The 13,738-nt window shown below is 39.2% G+C and overlaps 1 pseudogene, besides 2 other annotated features; it reads right to left on the reverse strand.

Moving 5' to 3' along the window:
- NGRNP4 (NGRN pseudogene 4) lies at positions 2,703-3,634 on the reverse strand (annotated as a pseudogene).
- Positions 10,601-11,449: an enhancer, noted in NCBI's record as "NANOG-H3K27ac-H3K4me1 hESC enhancer chr6:22221433-22222281 (GRCh37/hg19 assembly coordinates)". NCBI's record gives its function as "activates a minimal SCP1, AML or CMV promoter by ChIP-STARR-seq in naive H9 embryonic stem cells {active_cell/tissue: H9 hESC(naive)}" and the evidence as "EXISTENCE:reporter gene assay evidence [ECO:0000049][PMID:30033119]".
- Positions 12,311-12,812: an enhancer, noted in NCBI's record as "H3K4me1 hESC enhancer chr6:22223143-22223644 (GRCh37/hg19 assembly coordinates)". NCBI's record gives its function as "activates a minimal SCP1, AML or CMV promoter by ChIP-STARR-seq in naive H9 embryonic stem cells {active_cell/tissue: H9 hESC(naive)}" and the evidence as "EXISTENCE:reporter gene assay evidence [ECO:0000049][PMID:30033119]".

Genomic DNA, 13,738 nt, shown 5'->3' on the forward strand with positions numbered 1-13,738 from the left:
CCATGAATTCCAAGCAAGAGTATCGGCACCTAGGAGAAACTACATCTAGGCACTTCATAGTCAAATTGATTCTTTTTAAAAGTCAAAGAGGAAATTTTAAAAATACTGGAGTAAAAAGTTACATTAAAGGAAGCAACAGTGATACTGATGAATCCCTTTTCCACAGAAATGAAGTGAGTCTGATCGTTGTAGTATAAAATCTTTGAATTATGGAAAGAGATTATGTGCCAACCCATAACTCAATATCCAGGGAAAATATACTTCAAATGTGAAAGCAAAATGAAAACACATTCAGACAAAAGGTGAGAACTTTTCACCATCACAAATTCTATATTCTTCATATAGTAGAATATTGATCTGGAGGAAGCACAGAGATGCAGAAAGGAAAGGAGAGCGTAAACATATGAATGATAAAAACAAAATTGATTAATCCAAAATAAGGCCAGAAAGGTAAATAATGGAACAGATAATAAATAAAAACAAATGGCAAAAAGGTAGATTTAACCAAATGTATTAGTAATGAAATATGAATGGATTAAATTCTCCAATGATAAGACAAAGATTGAGAGATTAGAATAAAACAATAAAAACTGGACATGCTGTTTACAAGGAAAAAATTTCCCTCTGTTTATTAAGGCCAATGAAAACTAATTTTAGACTGATTTTATTTTTAAAAGTTTTGATGCTGTCTGAAAAAAATTAATCATTCAATATATTTAAATATCTGACAATGTTGCAAATATCCAGTTCTTACATATTTTTACTCTAGTCAATCTTACATATGGCTAAAGTAAAATCTGTTTAAATCAGGGATTCTTAATATGTTGTTAAAACTAATTAACAGATGTATATAACTATTTCATCTTATAGCTGTATTCTGGTTTCTCAGTAAATAGACTGAGTTAGCTTTGTTGCAGTAACAAAAAAGAAATTCCCTGATAAACCCCAGTTCTGCTGTCTGAGAGCTCAGTTCACTGGTTTCTACAGCTCTTGGTTTTATTTTCTGGGGTGTTCTTCCTGTTCCACTGTTGTTCTTGAATATCTGAAGGGAACATTGGAGAATATGTCCTTTTTAGGTACTAAGCAGATTTATTAATATAGTAACTCATAGTAGAAATTCTGGGCCCCCCAAATTCTTTTAACTCTTAATTTGTCATAATGTCTCTTACTCTTGGTTGGTGAAACTTTTGCCAGTACAGTCAGTCCTCTGGATCTGTGCACTGTACATCTGTAGATTCAACCAACCACTGATCAAAAATATTTTTTAAGTGTCTATACTGAACATGTAGACTTTTTTTGTAATTATTGCCAAAACAATACAGTAGAACAACCATCAAAACAGCATTTATACTATATTGTTAATAGACATTATAAGCAATCTAGACATGATTTGAAGCATATGGGAGGAGGATGTGCATAGGTTGTATGCAAATACTATGACATTTTATGTAAATAATTGAGCAGCTCAGATTTTGGTATCTGGAAGGAGTGCTAGAACAATCCCTTATGGATACTGAGAGATGACTGTACGATCTGTCAAACTTTTGTGTCCAAACAGTTCTATGTGCCAAAAGCTATACCCACAATTCTTTTTGAGATACTCCTCTCTCTCTAGATTTATCTTGAGTTTACTGGCCTCCTGGATGAGCCATGTGTACATTCTCTTTATCCTAAGCATTTTTCCCCCAATAAAAGATTTTCTATGGGCAATTTTGAACCATTCACAGTGTTTAACTAAGGAGGTGATGATCATACAAAAGATTTCGTTGTTTTCTTGAGATATAGTATAAGTTTTGTTGCCCAAGCAGTTAATTTTTTCTCTCACTGGTTATAGATAAAAAAATTAACTGCATCTTCCAGTTCTGCTAGAACTGAAGTTTCTAGATTCCCTCTATATACTTTCATCCCAGGATCATCTCCATACTTTCATCAAAATTCTATTGAGCTTCTCTTACTCTTGTAATACCTAATCAAAGACAGCTAAAAATAACAACCCAGGCACCCCAGCAAAATTCTTACATTGCAATCTCTTTGTCTAAAACCACAAGTTCAACAGGTATATTTGCTCACTTCCATGATATCACAGATGACATTTAACCCAAATATGACATCACTGCGTAATATAGATCATCATTCTTCTCATCTTCCAATAATATTTTCCCCATTACCTACCACCTGGCTCTGAGGCCAGTAGCTCATATTTTATGTCTTTTTGAAGTCATCACCCTACTTCTGGTACCAACTTCTGTGTGCTGGTTCAGATTTCTGTGTTTTCTTAGATTTGCTTCAGTAGCAGCAATCATAAAATCCCATTAATTTACAATAACAAAATTTATTTTTTGTTCTCATTACATTTGGGAAGCTAGCAGATTGGTAGCTGCAGCTCTGCTCCCCAGGTCGTCTCAATTTAGTTTCCCAATTCCCTCCCCAACATATATTGCAGGTATCATAGAAACTGATATGGGCTGGTTTGCAGCATACAGAAAGACCAAGCAAAAAGGGGTAAAGATCTACAGGGGTCAGCCTGGGAACAGTGCTCCAAGAGGTTTGAATCTATCTAAGCACATCTTTCCTCCCACATTCCAGGCTCATCACTTCCTCCTATTTCAATGTGGCTAATCCATACACAGATATTTAGACAGCTCCACATATTCTTGTCCAGCTGTATTGAATGAGACATTTCCCATAAGCTAAGCCCCAGCTCAAATTCTGTATAGGAAGCTCCCGATGCTGTCCCAGAACTCACAGGCCAATGTGCTCTACTTTGTTGCTGAAGTTTGGTCACCTGGTTCCCTTAACTTCAACTCCTCCAGCTCCTCATCATTTGGCAATCCATTGCTGACAGTCGTTCTGGGCTTCCCAATCACTGCTGGAGTACTTCAGCCCTTTATGCCTAAGGCTGCAGCGACAGGCATAAAGCTCTCCTCCAGGCCCTGGATTCCATTTTTCCTTCCCTTCTGTAACCTCGCAGTGTATGTACTGTGAGTTTTCGACACTCTCAGTTTAAAGCCATGCTCTGACTCTGGCCTTTCGATGAGGCATCATCCTCTCGCTTCAGCAAAGAGCCTGATACAGAGTGCCCTGCAGAGAATAGTTTCAAGATGTCTCCAGAGCCCTGGAGCTGCCTGAGTGAGAGGGCAACCCAGCTGTCTTAAGGACTTTTTTTTTTTTTTTTTTCCAAATCAGGATCTTACTACCTGGCCCAGATGGGAGTGTAGGGGCATGATCATAGTTCACTGCAGCCTCAACCTCCTGGGCTCATGCAATCCTCCTGCCTCAGCCTCCTGAGTAGCTAGCACTAAAGGAGTGCACAACCAAGTCCAGCTAATTTCTAAAACCATCAAGGTCCTGCTATAGTGCTCATGGTCCCACTACATTGCTGGTCTGGAACTCCTGGTCTGATGCAATCCTCCCCCTCCACTTCCCAAAGTGCTGGGATTATAGGCAGGAGCCACTGTGTCCAACCTCATAAGGACTTTTTGATCCAGCTTCAGTTTCTGCTCCAATGTTGGTACAACCCTGCTTTTGAAAACCCTTTGGATCACATTGGTGCTGCATCAAAGCCTTCAGCCAACCTGGGAACTGACCAGGATGCTACAAATTCCTTATGTAAATACCAGATCTGCTTTATGGACAGGGCACCTGGCGCCTCCATTTACCTCCAAATTTGTTGATATCAGATTGCATTTTTCTGTCATTTCAGGGCACCGAGGAAGAGAACCAATGGCAGAGGCCACATGTGCAAGCAAGATGGGAGTCTGGAGAGCCTCAGGCTAAATCACGAGTGCTCAGCCCTCTCCTCTTTGTAAGGGCAACCGGGTCATATCTGCCAGCATAGAACTGCTCTGTCCACAGCCCTAAAATCTAATACCTAGAACAATAAATGCACTTAAGCACGTCAAACTCTCTCAACCAGTGATGAAATCTGTCACTAGCGAAGGGACTTGTCCCAAGGGAGCTGAACACCTGCCGCTGCACCCTGACAATGTATAAGAAACAAGCACCACTGTGGATGCAGCCCCAGAGGCCTAGTGTCATGGGGGTGCAAGGCCCTGCTTCAGGCTGGGGGCCTGGGGAGGGGCTGGTACCTCTCTACCTCCTGCAGCTCCTGTTCCTCTGGCTCCTGGTGAAAATCTGGGTCTGAACCCATAGCAAGTGAGGGCCACAAGGCTTCACCTTCTGAGATGCAGCTAGAAGAAACAGCTGGTATAATATATGGTCATGCACTACCTAACTACGTTTCCTCAACATGGGACTGCATATATGACAATGGTCTGTCCCGTGAGATTATAATAAAGCTGAAAAATTTCTATCACCCAGTCATATCATAGCCATAGTAATGTCAAGGCCCAAGGTATTGTGTGTCTGTGGTGATGCCGGTGTAAACAAACTTGCCACACTGCCAGTCATATGAATAGAGCACAAACAATTATGTAATATATAGTACTTGATCAAAATACACAACTATATTTCTGGTTTATGTATTTACTATACTATACTTTTAATCATTATTTTAGAGTGTACTCCTTCTGCATCTATGTGTCAACTGCAAAACAACCTCAGGCAGGTCCTTCAGGAGGTATTCCAGAGGAAGGCAATGTAATCACAGATGACAGCTCTATGCAGGTTATCACCCCTGAAGACCTTCTACTGGGACAAGATGTGGAGGTAGAAGACAGTAATATTGATGATCCTGACCCTGTGTAAGCCTAGGCTAATGCATATGTGTGCTGTGTCTTAGTTTTTACCAAAAAGTTTAAAAAGTAAAATAAAAATAGGAAATAGCTTATGGAATAAGGATATAAAGAAACCATTTTTGTACAGCTGTACATGTGTTTGTGTTTTCAGCTGTGTTATTACAAAAAGGTCAAACTTTAAAAATAAACAAGTTTATAAAGTAAAAAGATTTCAGTAAAGTACAGTAAGGTTAATTTATGGTTGAAGAAAAACATTTTAAAAATAAATTTAGTGTAGCCTAAGTGTCCAGTGTTTCTAAAGTCTACAGTAGCGTGCAGTCATGTCCTAGGCCTTCACGTTCACTCACCACTCACTCACTGACTCACCCAGAGCAAATTCCTGTCCTGCAAGCTCCATTCATGGTAAGTGCCCTACACAGGTGTACCATTTTAACCTTTTACATCATATTTTTATTGTACTTTAAACATATCTACATTTACATGTTTAGATACATAGGTGTTTACCATTGTGCTACAATTGCCTATGGTATTCAGTACAGTAACACGCTGTACAGGTTTGTAGCCTAGGAGTGATAGCCTATACCATACAGACTAGGTGTGGTAGGTTGTACCATCTAGGTTTAAGTAAGTATACTCTATGATGTTCCCACAACAACAGAATTGCTGAATGAAGCATTTCTCAGAATATATCCCCATGGTTAAGCAACCAATGAGTGTATTTTCTGTCTACCTTTCACCTCCATAATATATATATTTTTCTACATTTCTCATGGTAGAGGGAAAGAGCAACAGGACTTCCAGAAAAAAAACTAATGTGTCTTCAGACTTCTGCTTGTATGTGGCTCATGTTATATCTGAGCGTATGCTACTGGACAAAGTGAGTCACATAGCCAAGGCTTACAATGGGATGGGGAAGCATACTTCATTTCTGTGAAGGCACTCTAAGTCACATGGCATCAGTGGGGTCATCTTGTTCTTTTATAGTGAAGAGGGGAGTAAATAATAGAGGACAATAATACAGTCCACCAAAGATACTGAGGCCAATTATATCCAAAAAGCAAGATCAGTTTGGTGGAATGACTTACTAATGCACTGAGATGCCCATATGCCCATATTCCCTGCCAAACAGTCTAAATGGAAAACTAGAATCCTAATTAAAATGAGAAAAGGCGTGTCACAAAGCTTCCTTTATTGTAGAGCAGTTGAGTTGTGATGTTCGTTACTAGATTTTTTTTATTAGCCTGTTGTTAGTTGTATGTATGCCTTCTATTTATTAAGCACTTATTATGAGCCAAGCATAGTAGTAAACCTTTTTCTGACCTTATTTAAACCTATCAACAGTCTCAAGTTGGAACTAGGTCTCTTTCCATTTACAGATAAAAATATTAAAGGACAGAATAACTAAGCAACTTGCCCAAAGTCACAGGTCCCTGCTCTTATCTGCTATATTTTCTTTCTCTATTTTTCTTTTTCGTGTAATACAGAAAGCCCATGATCATCCTGATGCCTCCTCTGTGTGGATATCGCAGGAATGGCAACTTACGACCTTATGAAGTAGTTTATTCTAATTTAGGGTAGCTCAAATTACTAGAACAAATATTTAATGGGCCTTTAATCTTCTACCCCTAAAATTTTTTCCAGTTGGTTCTAGTTTTATCTTATGGAGCTAAATGTATGGAAAATGATTCAAAGAACCTTCCTTCAAGTAGTAGAAATCATCTTCTAGATTTTATCTTTCCCAATCTAAAAATACATTGTTGTTTCAACAATTCCATGAATAACATGGATTGTGGATTTTTATCATCCTGGTTACTTTTCTCTTGGACTGCCAAACATTTAAGTGCGGAACAAGAACTGTCTGCAATAAAACATAATGAATGTTTATGCTAAATTTTTAAGCATCGACAGCTTCTATTCAACTGATGTATCTCAGAACACAAAAGAGTACTTGCTGTTTCGGGAAATTTGGTTCCTGTCTCCTTCTCTGATCTGAATTGTTATGTTGATAAATTTGCCATATTCTGCTGAAGAACAAATTCTGGCATCTTCACTGAGGAATCAGTGTCTGCCTCTAATACTTCTTTCTGTGAAATCCTGACCTGAAGTCTCCTCTATCATCCCAAAGATTTAAAAAAGATTAAAGGTGAGGCATGGGTTTCTCTGGCCTGCTTTGGTAAATTTATGTGCTCACATAACTCATTAATTGTTTAGGTTTAATTCAAGACAAATACCTGCACGTTTATGTTTGACACTAGTATTTATCAAATCCCAAAGCTGATCTGAACCCTAAACAAACCATATTCTTGGCAGCTCCTCCAAATAACACACATAGCAAATATATTGACATCAGTTGTACTTTAAAATGTCAACTCTGCTTTTCCTTTTCTCATGGTGCTAATAAAAGATTTTATTTAAAAACGCTAAACTTGGGAATGAATGCCAAATTCCTCTCTTACCATTCAGTAGGTCTTTTCCTGTTTTAGGTGTAGGCTATGGATTATTTCATTTGACCTTCTTGCTGTTTACCTGGTTATAATATGTGAAAATACAAAATTTAAAGTCTCCATTATGCTATGGGAACGTAAAACTTTTTTATTTTTTAAGAGAATCTGTAAATATGTACATTTCAGAGCTACCACAACTAGAATTATCTTTACTGTTAATTAATTAATCAAAAATATGGTGGACATTATTAACAATAAGCCCTGAAGCAACATTTTTGGAAATGACCTAAAAGAATTGCTGGACTGTCATTCAAAGTTCAATAAAAATGCCTTATAGGAACTTTTCTCTTGGACTAACACGTCATGATGGAGTTGAACAAGCAGTAGATTAACATCTGAACACCAATTTTAAATTACAGTGTTGTGTGATATTAATAGAGTGATTGTAATTAAGTAACTAGGCCTCCTTTGATCTTGTTTGCCTTATCTGTTAAATAATCTACTCTTACCATCACCATCACTAATGATAAAAACATTTAAAATATTGCTACTTGTGCTAGGCAGAATCATGGCCTCAAAGATGTCTATGACTTAGTCTCTGGAACCTGTAACTATGTTAGCTCACATGGTACAACGGACTTTTCAGAGGTGATTAAATTAAAAATCTTGACATGGGGAGATTATCCAGGATTGCCTGGGAGAATGGGCATTGTAATCACTTGGGTTCTTAAAAGTGAAAGAGGGAGGGAGGGAGGGAGGGAGGGAGGGAGGGAGGGGATATGAGAATAGAAGCAGAGTCAGAGTGATGCAGCTTAAGAAACACCTGACTGTATATTGCTGCCTGGCTTCGAAGGTGGAAGGGACCATGAGCTAAGGAATGGAGGTGGCGTCTAGAAGCTGGAAGAGGCAAGCACACAGATTCTCCCCTAGAGCCTCTGGAAGGAAGGCACACCTGCCAACACCTTGATTTTAGTCCAGTGAGACCTGTTTTGGACTTCGACTTCTGACAATGTAATACAATCAATTTGTGTTGTTTTAAGCCACTAAGTTTGTGGTAATTTGTTGTTGCAGTAATAAGAAACGAATACACTACTTCATTAGATTACTGTAATGATTCCAAAATTTAATAGATTATGAGAAAGCACTTTGTAAACTGAAGTACGATAGAAATGTTAATTATTATTGATAAAATTAAAGTAGGTTCTAACAACTCTAATTAGAAGGATGAGGTCTGTTTCAAATAAAATCCAGATTAGAGATGGGCTAGTGAGTCTTTGCCATTTTCATAAACTTTCATAGGGATCCTCCCCAAAATGAATTAACAGAACTATTAAAAGCAACCCCTCTGGGACCAATCTGAAATTAATTTTTCAGCTTTATCGCTGAAACATTCTCTAAACCATAAATTAATAGGAAGCAATAATTCTCCCCTGAGCAGAGCAAATGCTTAAGTTGCAGGTCCACTGGTATAGCACACAAGCGGCCTGAGGATAAATCCATCTTTGGTGGTGGAAAATTCTTAAGTCAAAGAAAAATATATTATATGTCATAGCCCACTGTAGTGTAATTCTAATGGTAAGTTATTTTTCAGTTTTGTAGCCTGCATACATATATAGAGGAAACATCTTCCAGCTCAAGAAAGAACTCTGTTCTCGCCTTCTCCCTTCTAATCTCAGTCACTAGTTGTTACCATTAATTAACCCTCATGAGAAAAACCTGATGACATCGTTTATTGGCAACAGACTATAATGATATTCCAATTGAAACAAATTAATAGGGGTGATCCCTTTTTAGCCAGCAGTTTCCTATTTTTTGTACCTGAAAACTATTTTGTATTCAGGAACAATAATATTTAAAATTTAAGTCAACTGATATGTTTGTTTTAAGCTATTTACTTATTTAGCATTGTGTAGAAAATTAATTGGCTAAAAATCTTCACTGTTATTCTAGATATCTTGTTATCAAAAGGAACACTTCTGTATTCTCAAAATTATTAGTTTGTCCTTGCAGTGATTTTCAAAAGCATATCGATGGTTGAAATTAAAACTAATTTGTCTATTACAGACATGACCTTGGTTTCAAACAGGTTCTGATAAATCTAGCCAGTGCAGCACAAACGGGAAAAAAAAAAGACATTGGAAAGAACATGGCTTAGCTACTGAACATTGTAGGGACACTGAGTCTATAATTTCACTCTGGACCTTGAATGAAAACATGTTTCATTTAAATTTATTGCTACACAAAATTATTTTAATCTGGCAATTACGTAACAAAAAACTCCAGGGGAAATTTGAGCCACTAGACTTCTGGTAGTTGTAGTCGTTTACAAAAAGAGAGGACTGGAATGATACTAGGGTGAACGTGCAGTTCTGCCTCCAGGACTTAAAGGATGCCAGGGGAATATGGATTTTATTTATAAGGAATTCTCCTTGGGCCCAAACCTAAAACAGTCGGGTGTGGCATGCATTTTAGCAGCACGATGCGAACAGAAAATGAACAGAATTTTGGTTTGCTTTGGTGTATTTAGTTTTTTGGACTTTGTCCAATAAAACTAAATGATTTTTTTTTTTTTTGCATTTGTAACTCTTGTCCTAAACTGCAACAGCTTTTGCAAAAAGTAGATTGGCACCTACAGTTGACTTGCCAGTGGAAGTTCTTGGACACCTTTCTACAAGAATGCAGTCCCCTCTGACCATTGGATTCATCTTACTCTACCCTAGGGGGCCTAGGAAACTTCAGGCTTTCCAGTGCCTAGACGGAGCATCCCTGCTTCCTAGTATCAGCTTCCTTCACTGTGTAGCTGCCTTAGAACCAAGCTAAGCACAGGAATGCCTCTGCGGAGGCAGCCTTGCGTGGCACCAGGGAATGTTGCTTTGTTTATTCATACTCCATCTCCTAAATTTTTTTTTTTCCCCAGACAGGGTCTCAGCGCAATCAAGGCTCGCTACAGCCTCAACCTCCTGGGCTCAAGCAATCCTCCCGCCTCAATCACCCAAGTAGCTGGAACTACAGGCATGCGCCACCACATCCGGCTTTTTTTTTTTTTTTTTTTTTTTTTGGTAGAGATGGGGTCTTTCTGTGTTGCCTAGGCTGATCGCAAGCTCCTGGGCTCAAGTGATCCTCCCATCTTGGCTCCCAGACTGCTAGGATTACAGGCACGAGACACTGTGCCCAGGCCCAAATTCTGTACTTCTCCCAGCTATTGTGAAGCCTCCGACATGGTCTGTTCTGATTCTGTCACCTTTCTCTTCCTTCTCAAGCCCCAGTAGGGGCCTTGCCTCTCCAGCGTACCCTGCTTTTGGAGATCTTGCCTCCATGTTTCCATTATTGATGGAGGGACCGTGGCAGGACTTTGCTTTCCAATGTCACTATTATGTCAGCAGGCTAGCCCTGAACCCCACACAGTAAGACCCCTTATGTGAGGGTTTTACACCTACTTGATCTTATTCCTCTTTCCAGGTGAGCACCACACACTGACCTAGCTAGGCTCAGGGTAAGGTAGCTCTTGCTCATTTTGGCCAGGTATTTAATTACGTGACATTCACAGTGTGCCTTTCTACTTATCTTTTTATCCTTTTCAGTTCAAGAAACGTGGCTATACCAACTTGCCACAGTGCCCATCCCACTTTGTAGAAGACTTTGATATCTGACTCACAGAGAAACTCCTGCCAGGAGTTTATATTGTGTGCAGCTGATTCAGGCAGTAACTTCCACTCAGCGAGGGGGTCCATTTACAAAAAATTACTTCTCTTCCTTTTATGCCCAGTATGGTTCTTAAAATCAACCAGACCTATCTTTCACCAGCACGACTTGGTTCTTTTAAACCACAGTATTTCTGCTTCTTCTAGTTGGAAAACTTTAATATGAGATTGAAGATATGATTTGCTTTCTGGATTGTTGTATGCTACTAAAACCGAAGAAAGAGAAGGAAAAATGGATGAATCGACGGACCATATCACCCTGGCACCTATATCAGCTCAAAAACTGAAGGAAATACCCCTTTCCTGCCCTCTCTTTGACTAATGCTATAGACTCTGAGTCAGTAGTTCCTGGTGGGACCTGAGAGTCCACATTCCTGATGAGCTCCAGGTGTTCCCATGCTGCTGCCCCTCTGACCACACTTAGAATAAGAAGGCTTGAAATGAAATCTGAGAAATCAGCCTCTTGATTCCAATTTTAAACATGCAATTGATTCTTGTAATTTTTCATTCTTGTCAAAATGCATACCAGTAAGTTTGTAATCAGTATTGGCATGCTTAAAAGAATTTAAGACTTGTTATATTTGTCATTTTAATTTATTTAAACTTTAAAGATTTGTTCAGAACTTGGAAAGATTTTGCTTAAGCTCATAAATTTACCCACTCAGGCATATGAGATAGGGTACTTTGATTTATAAATGAAGTTTAAAATTAAGGGAATTTAATTAAGTTTTCAAAATGAGATTGGTTGTTTTAAGGGGAATTTACTTTGTGTAACTTGAGTTCATCAAACGCTAATCCAAGTTCCCTGCAAAACCTGTTCTGTTTTATATAACATTTACTCGTTTTAGAAATAGATGAGATTTGCAAATTGAACCTAAAGACTTAAGGCAAATTATGTATCTTTTTATACTTTAATAAAGAAAAATAAAATAAATTTGAAACACAAATAACTCTAACTGGCCCTTTTTATGTAAAAAGAAGTCCTTGAATAAAATTTACCTTGACAGCACTAGCAATTCCGCAACTCTGGCGTGTGTCTTTGAAAATGTCTTATTTCCTCTGCGTTGCCCAGCCTCCTCTCTTGATGGTTCTGCTGGGGGTGGTGGGGAGCGGTTGGAGCGGGGGAACACACATCTGGGAATACTTTTCTACCTCATTCAGGGCATCTAGCTGACTCCTTAGTGGGCGGGCTTCCTAATGGATTCCTGGGGCTTCTGCACAGTCTTTTTCTACTGGTAAATCTGAACTCCTCCCCCAGCTAGTGTCTTGCTCCTCCTCTTCCCTTCCTCCCTCCTCCTTTCCCCACCCCCATTCCCCTATCCTCACAGCTTTCCCCGCAAACTCTTCAGTCTTTTAAATCTCTTACACCTGTCTCCTGCCTCCCACCATGCCCCTTGCAGGCACCTACTTCCTTTTGTCCTTAGTTCTTTGGTCCAGTTTCAGTTCCATCTGGTATTCCATGGTGGAGACAGCAGGAGATTTAGATTCATGAGGTTTTAAGAATGGGATTAAGAAAGACGAAACATCTATAAGACAAATAAGAATTTAAGTAAATCCTTTATTGAACTAAAAACATTCTTTGACTCGTTTTTGTGAATTAAGTTGCGTTACAAAAACAATCTCCTTCCGTTATCCTAACTTGAATATTGGCCTAGCCTCCAAATAGAGGAGCAGAAGTACAGCCCTTGGAAAACAGATTGGGTGGGGTATGTAATCCTGCAGCCTCTAAAGAGAGCACTTCCATCTGGCATTCCAATAGAGTAAATCAGAATTTTCCTTGCCTTTTATTTCTGCATGTCAGTTTCTTCATTCTCCAACCTGTCCCTCCCTCCCTCTCAAGAAAATGAGCTCTACGCTAAGCCCTACCCAAAGCCAACCAAGCCATTTTCTCCTTATTTTCCTCTGTTTCCTTCTCCTTGAAACCATAGTAGAGGCCCCCATCTAATCTCCAGGTGACCATACTCTGTAATCAACATGCTTGCTGAAGCCTGAGATCTGGGATGCTCATCAAGTGGAGGCCCTTCTTCCCACCTCTCCTCCTGTGCTTAACTCCCTGGTTTCCTGGTTTGCCTTTCAATTTCCTGCTGGAATCAGACCCTTGTCCTGGACCTCACAATGATTAGCAGCTTGTTTGGCCTTTGAAAGGCCCAGCGCCAGGTTAATAAACCACGACTTAGAAAGAAATCCCAATAGCTGGATACTCCACATCTGCTTCCAACTAATTAGCCTCTTAGATTGGAGACATACGATCTGCCTGCATGGTAAGGGGAGATTTCTGGTCTTGTGTTACCAGCACCTGGAGGGTACCTTCTGGATGTACATATCAGCCCTGATTGAAACCCAAGGTCCCTCATCTCCTTGAACTTTATTATTTCAACTGCTGGTTTTACTCTTGAGAGTAAGCCCTGCCACCTGGTTAGTTTCCCCAGCTCTTGACCCTTCCATTCCCCACTGTCATTACTCTTCCTGCGGCCCTGCTTGAGCTCCAAGTGTGCAGAGAGGTCACATGAGTTATTGCCTTGCATATCCGCAGTTCAATTGTAATCGATGTTCATAGGAATGTCCCTAAGTCACCATAGGAGCTAAAGGTGCCTTCTAAATCATCAAGGAAAGAATAAATTATGTTTAGTAAGGTTTTATTATTCCCATATTTTCATTCTTTAAAGCCTGGTAATCCACTAAGGAAATATGGCTAACTCTGTATTAATCAGATTCATCAACAGCCCATTTCTGAGTAGCTTAAGATTTAATGCCTTTGGAAAGATCTAGATGATTGAATGTTTCATTAATATCCAGATATTTGATGTCATGTACACACATTTCAGACAGTTTAGTATAAAGAGAAGGTCATTTCTAGCAGATGAGCCCGCAGTGCCTTGGCTTCTTATGCCAACAG

Source organism: Homo sapiens, chromosome 6 (genome assembly GCF_000001405.40).
Source record: "Homo sapiens chromosome 6, GRCh38.p14 Primary Assembly".
In the NCBI taxonomy this organism is placed as follows: Eukaryota; Metazoa; Chordata; class Mammalia; order Primates; family Hominidae; genus Homo; species Homo sapiens.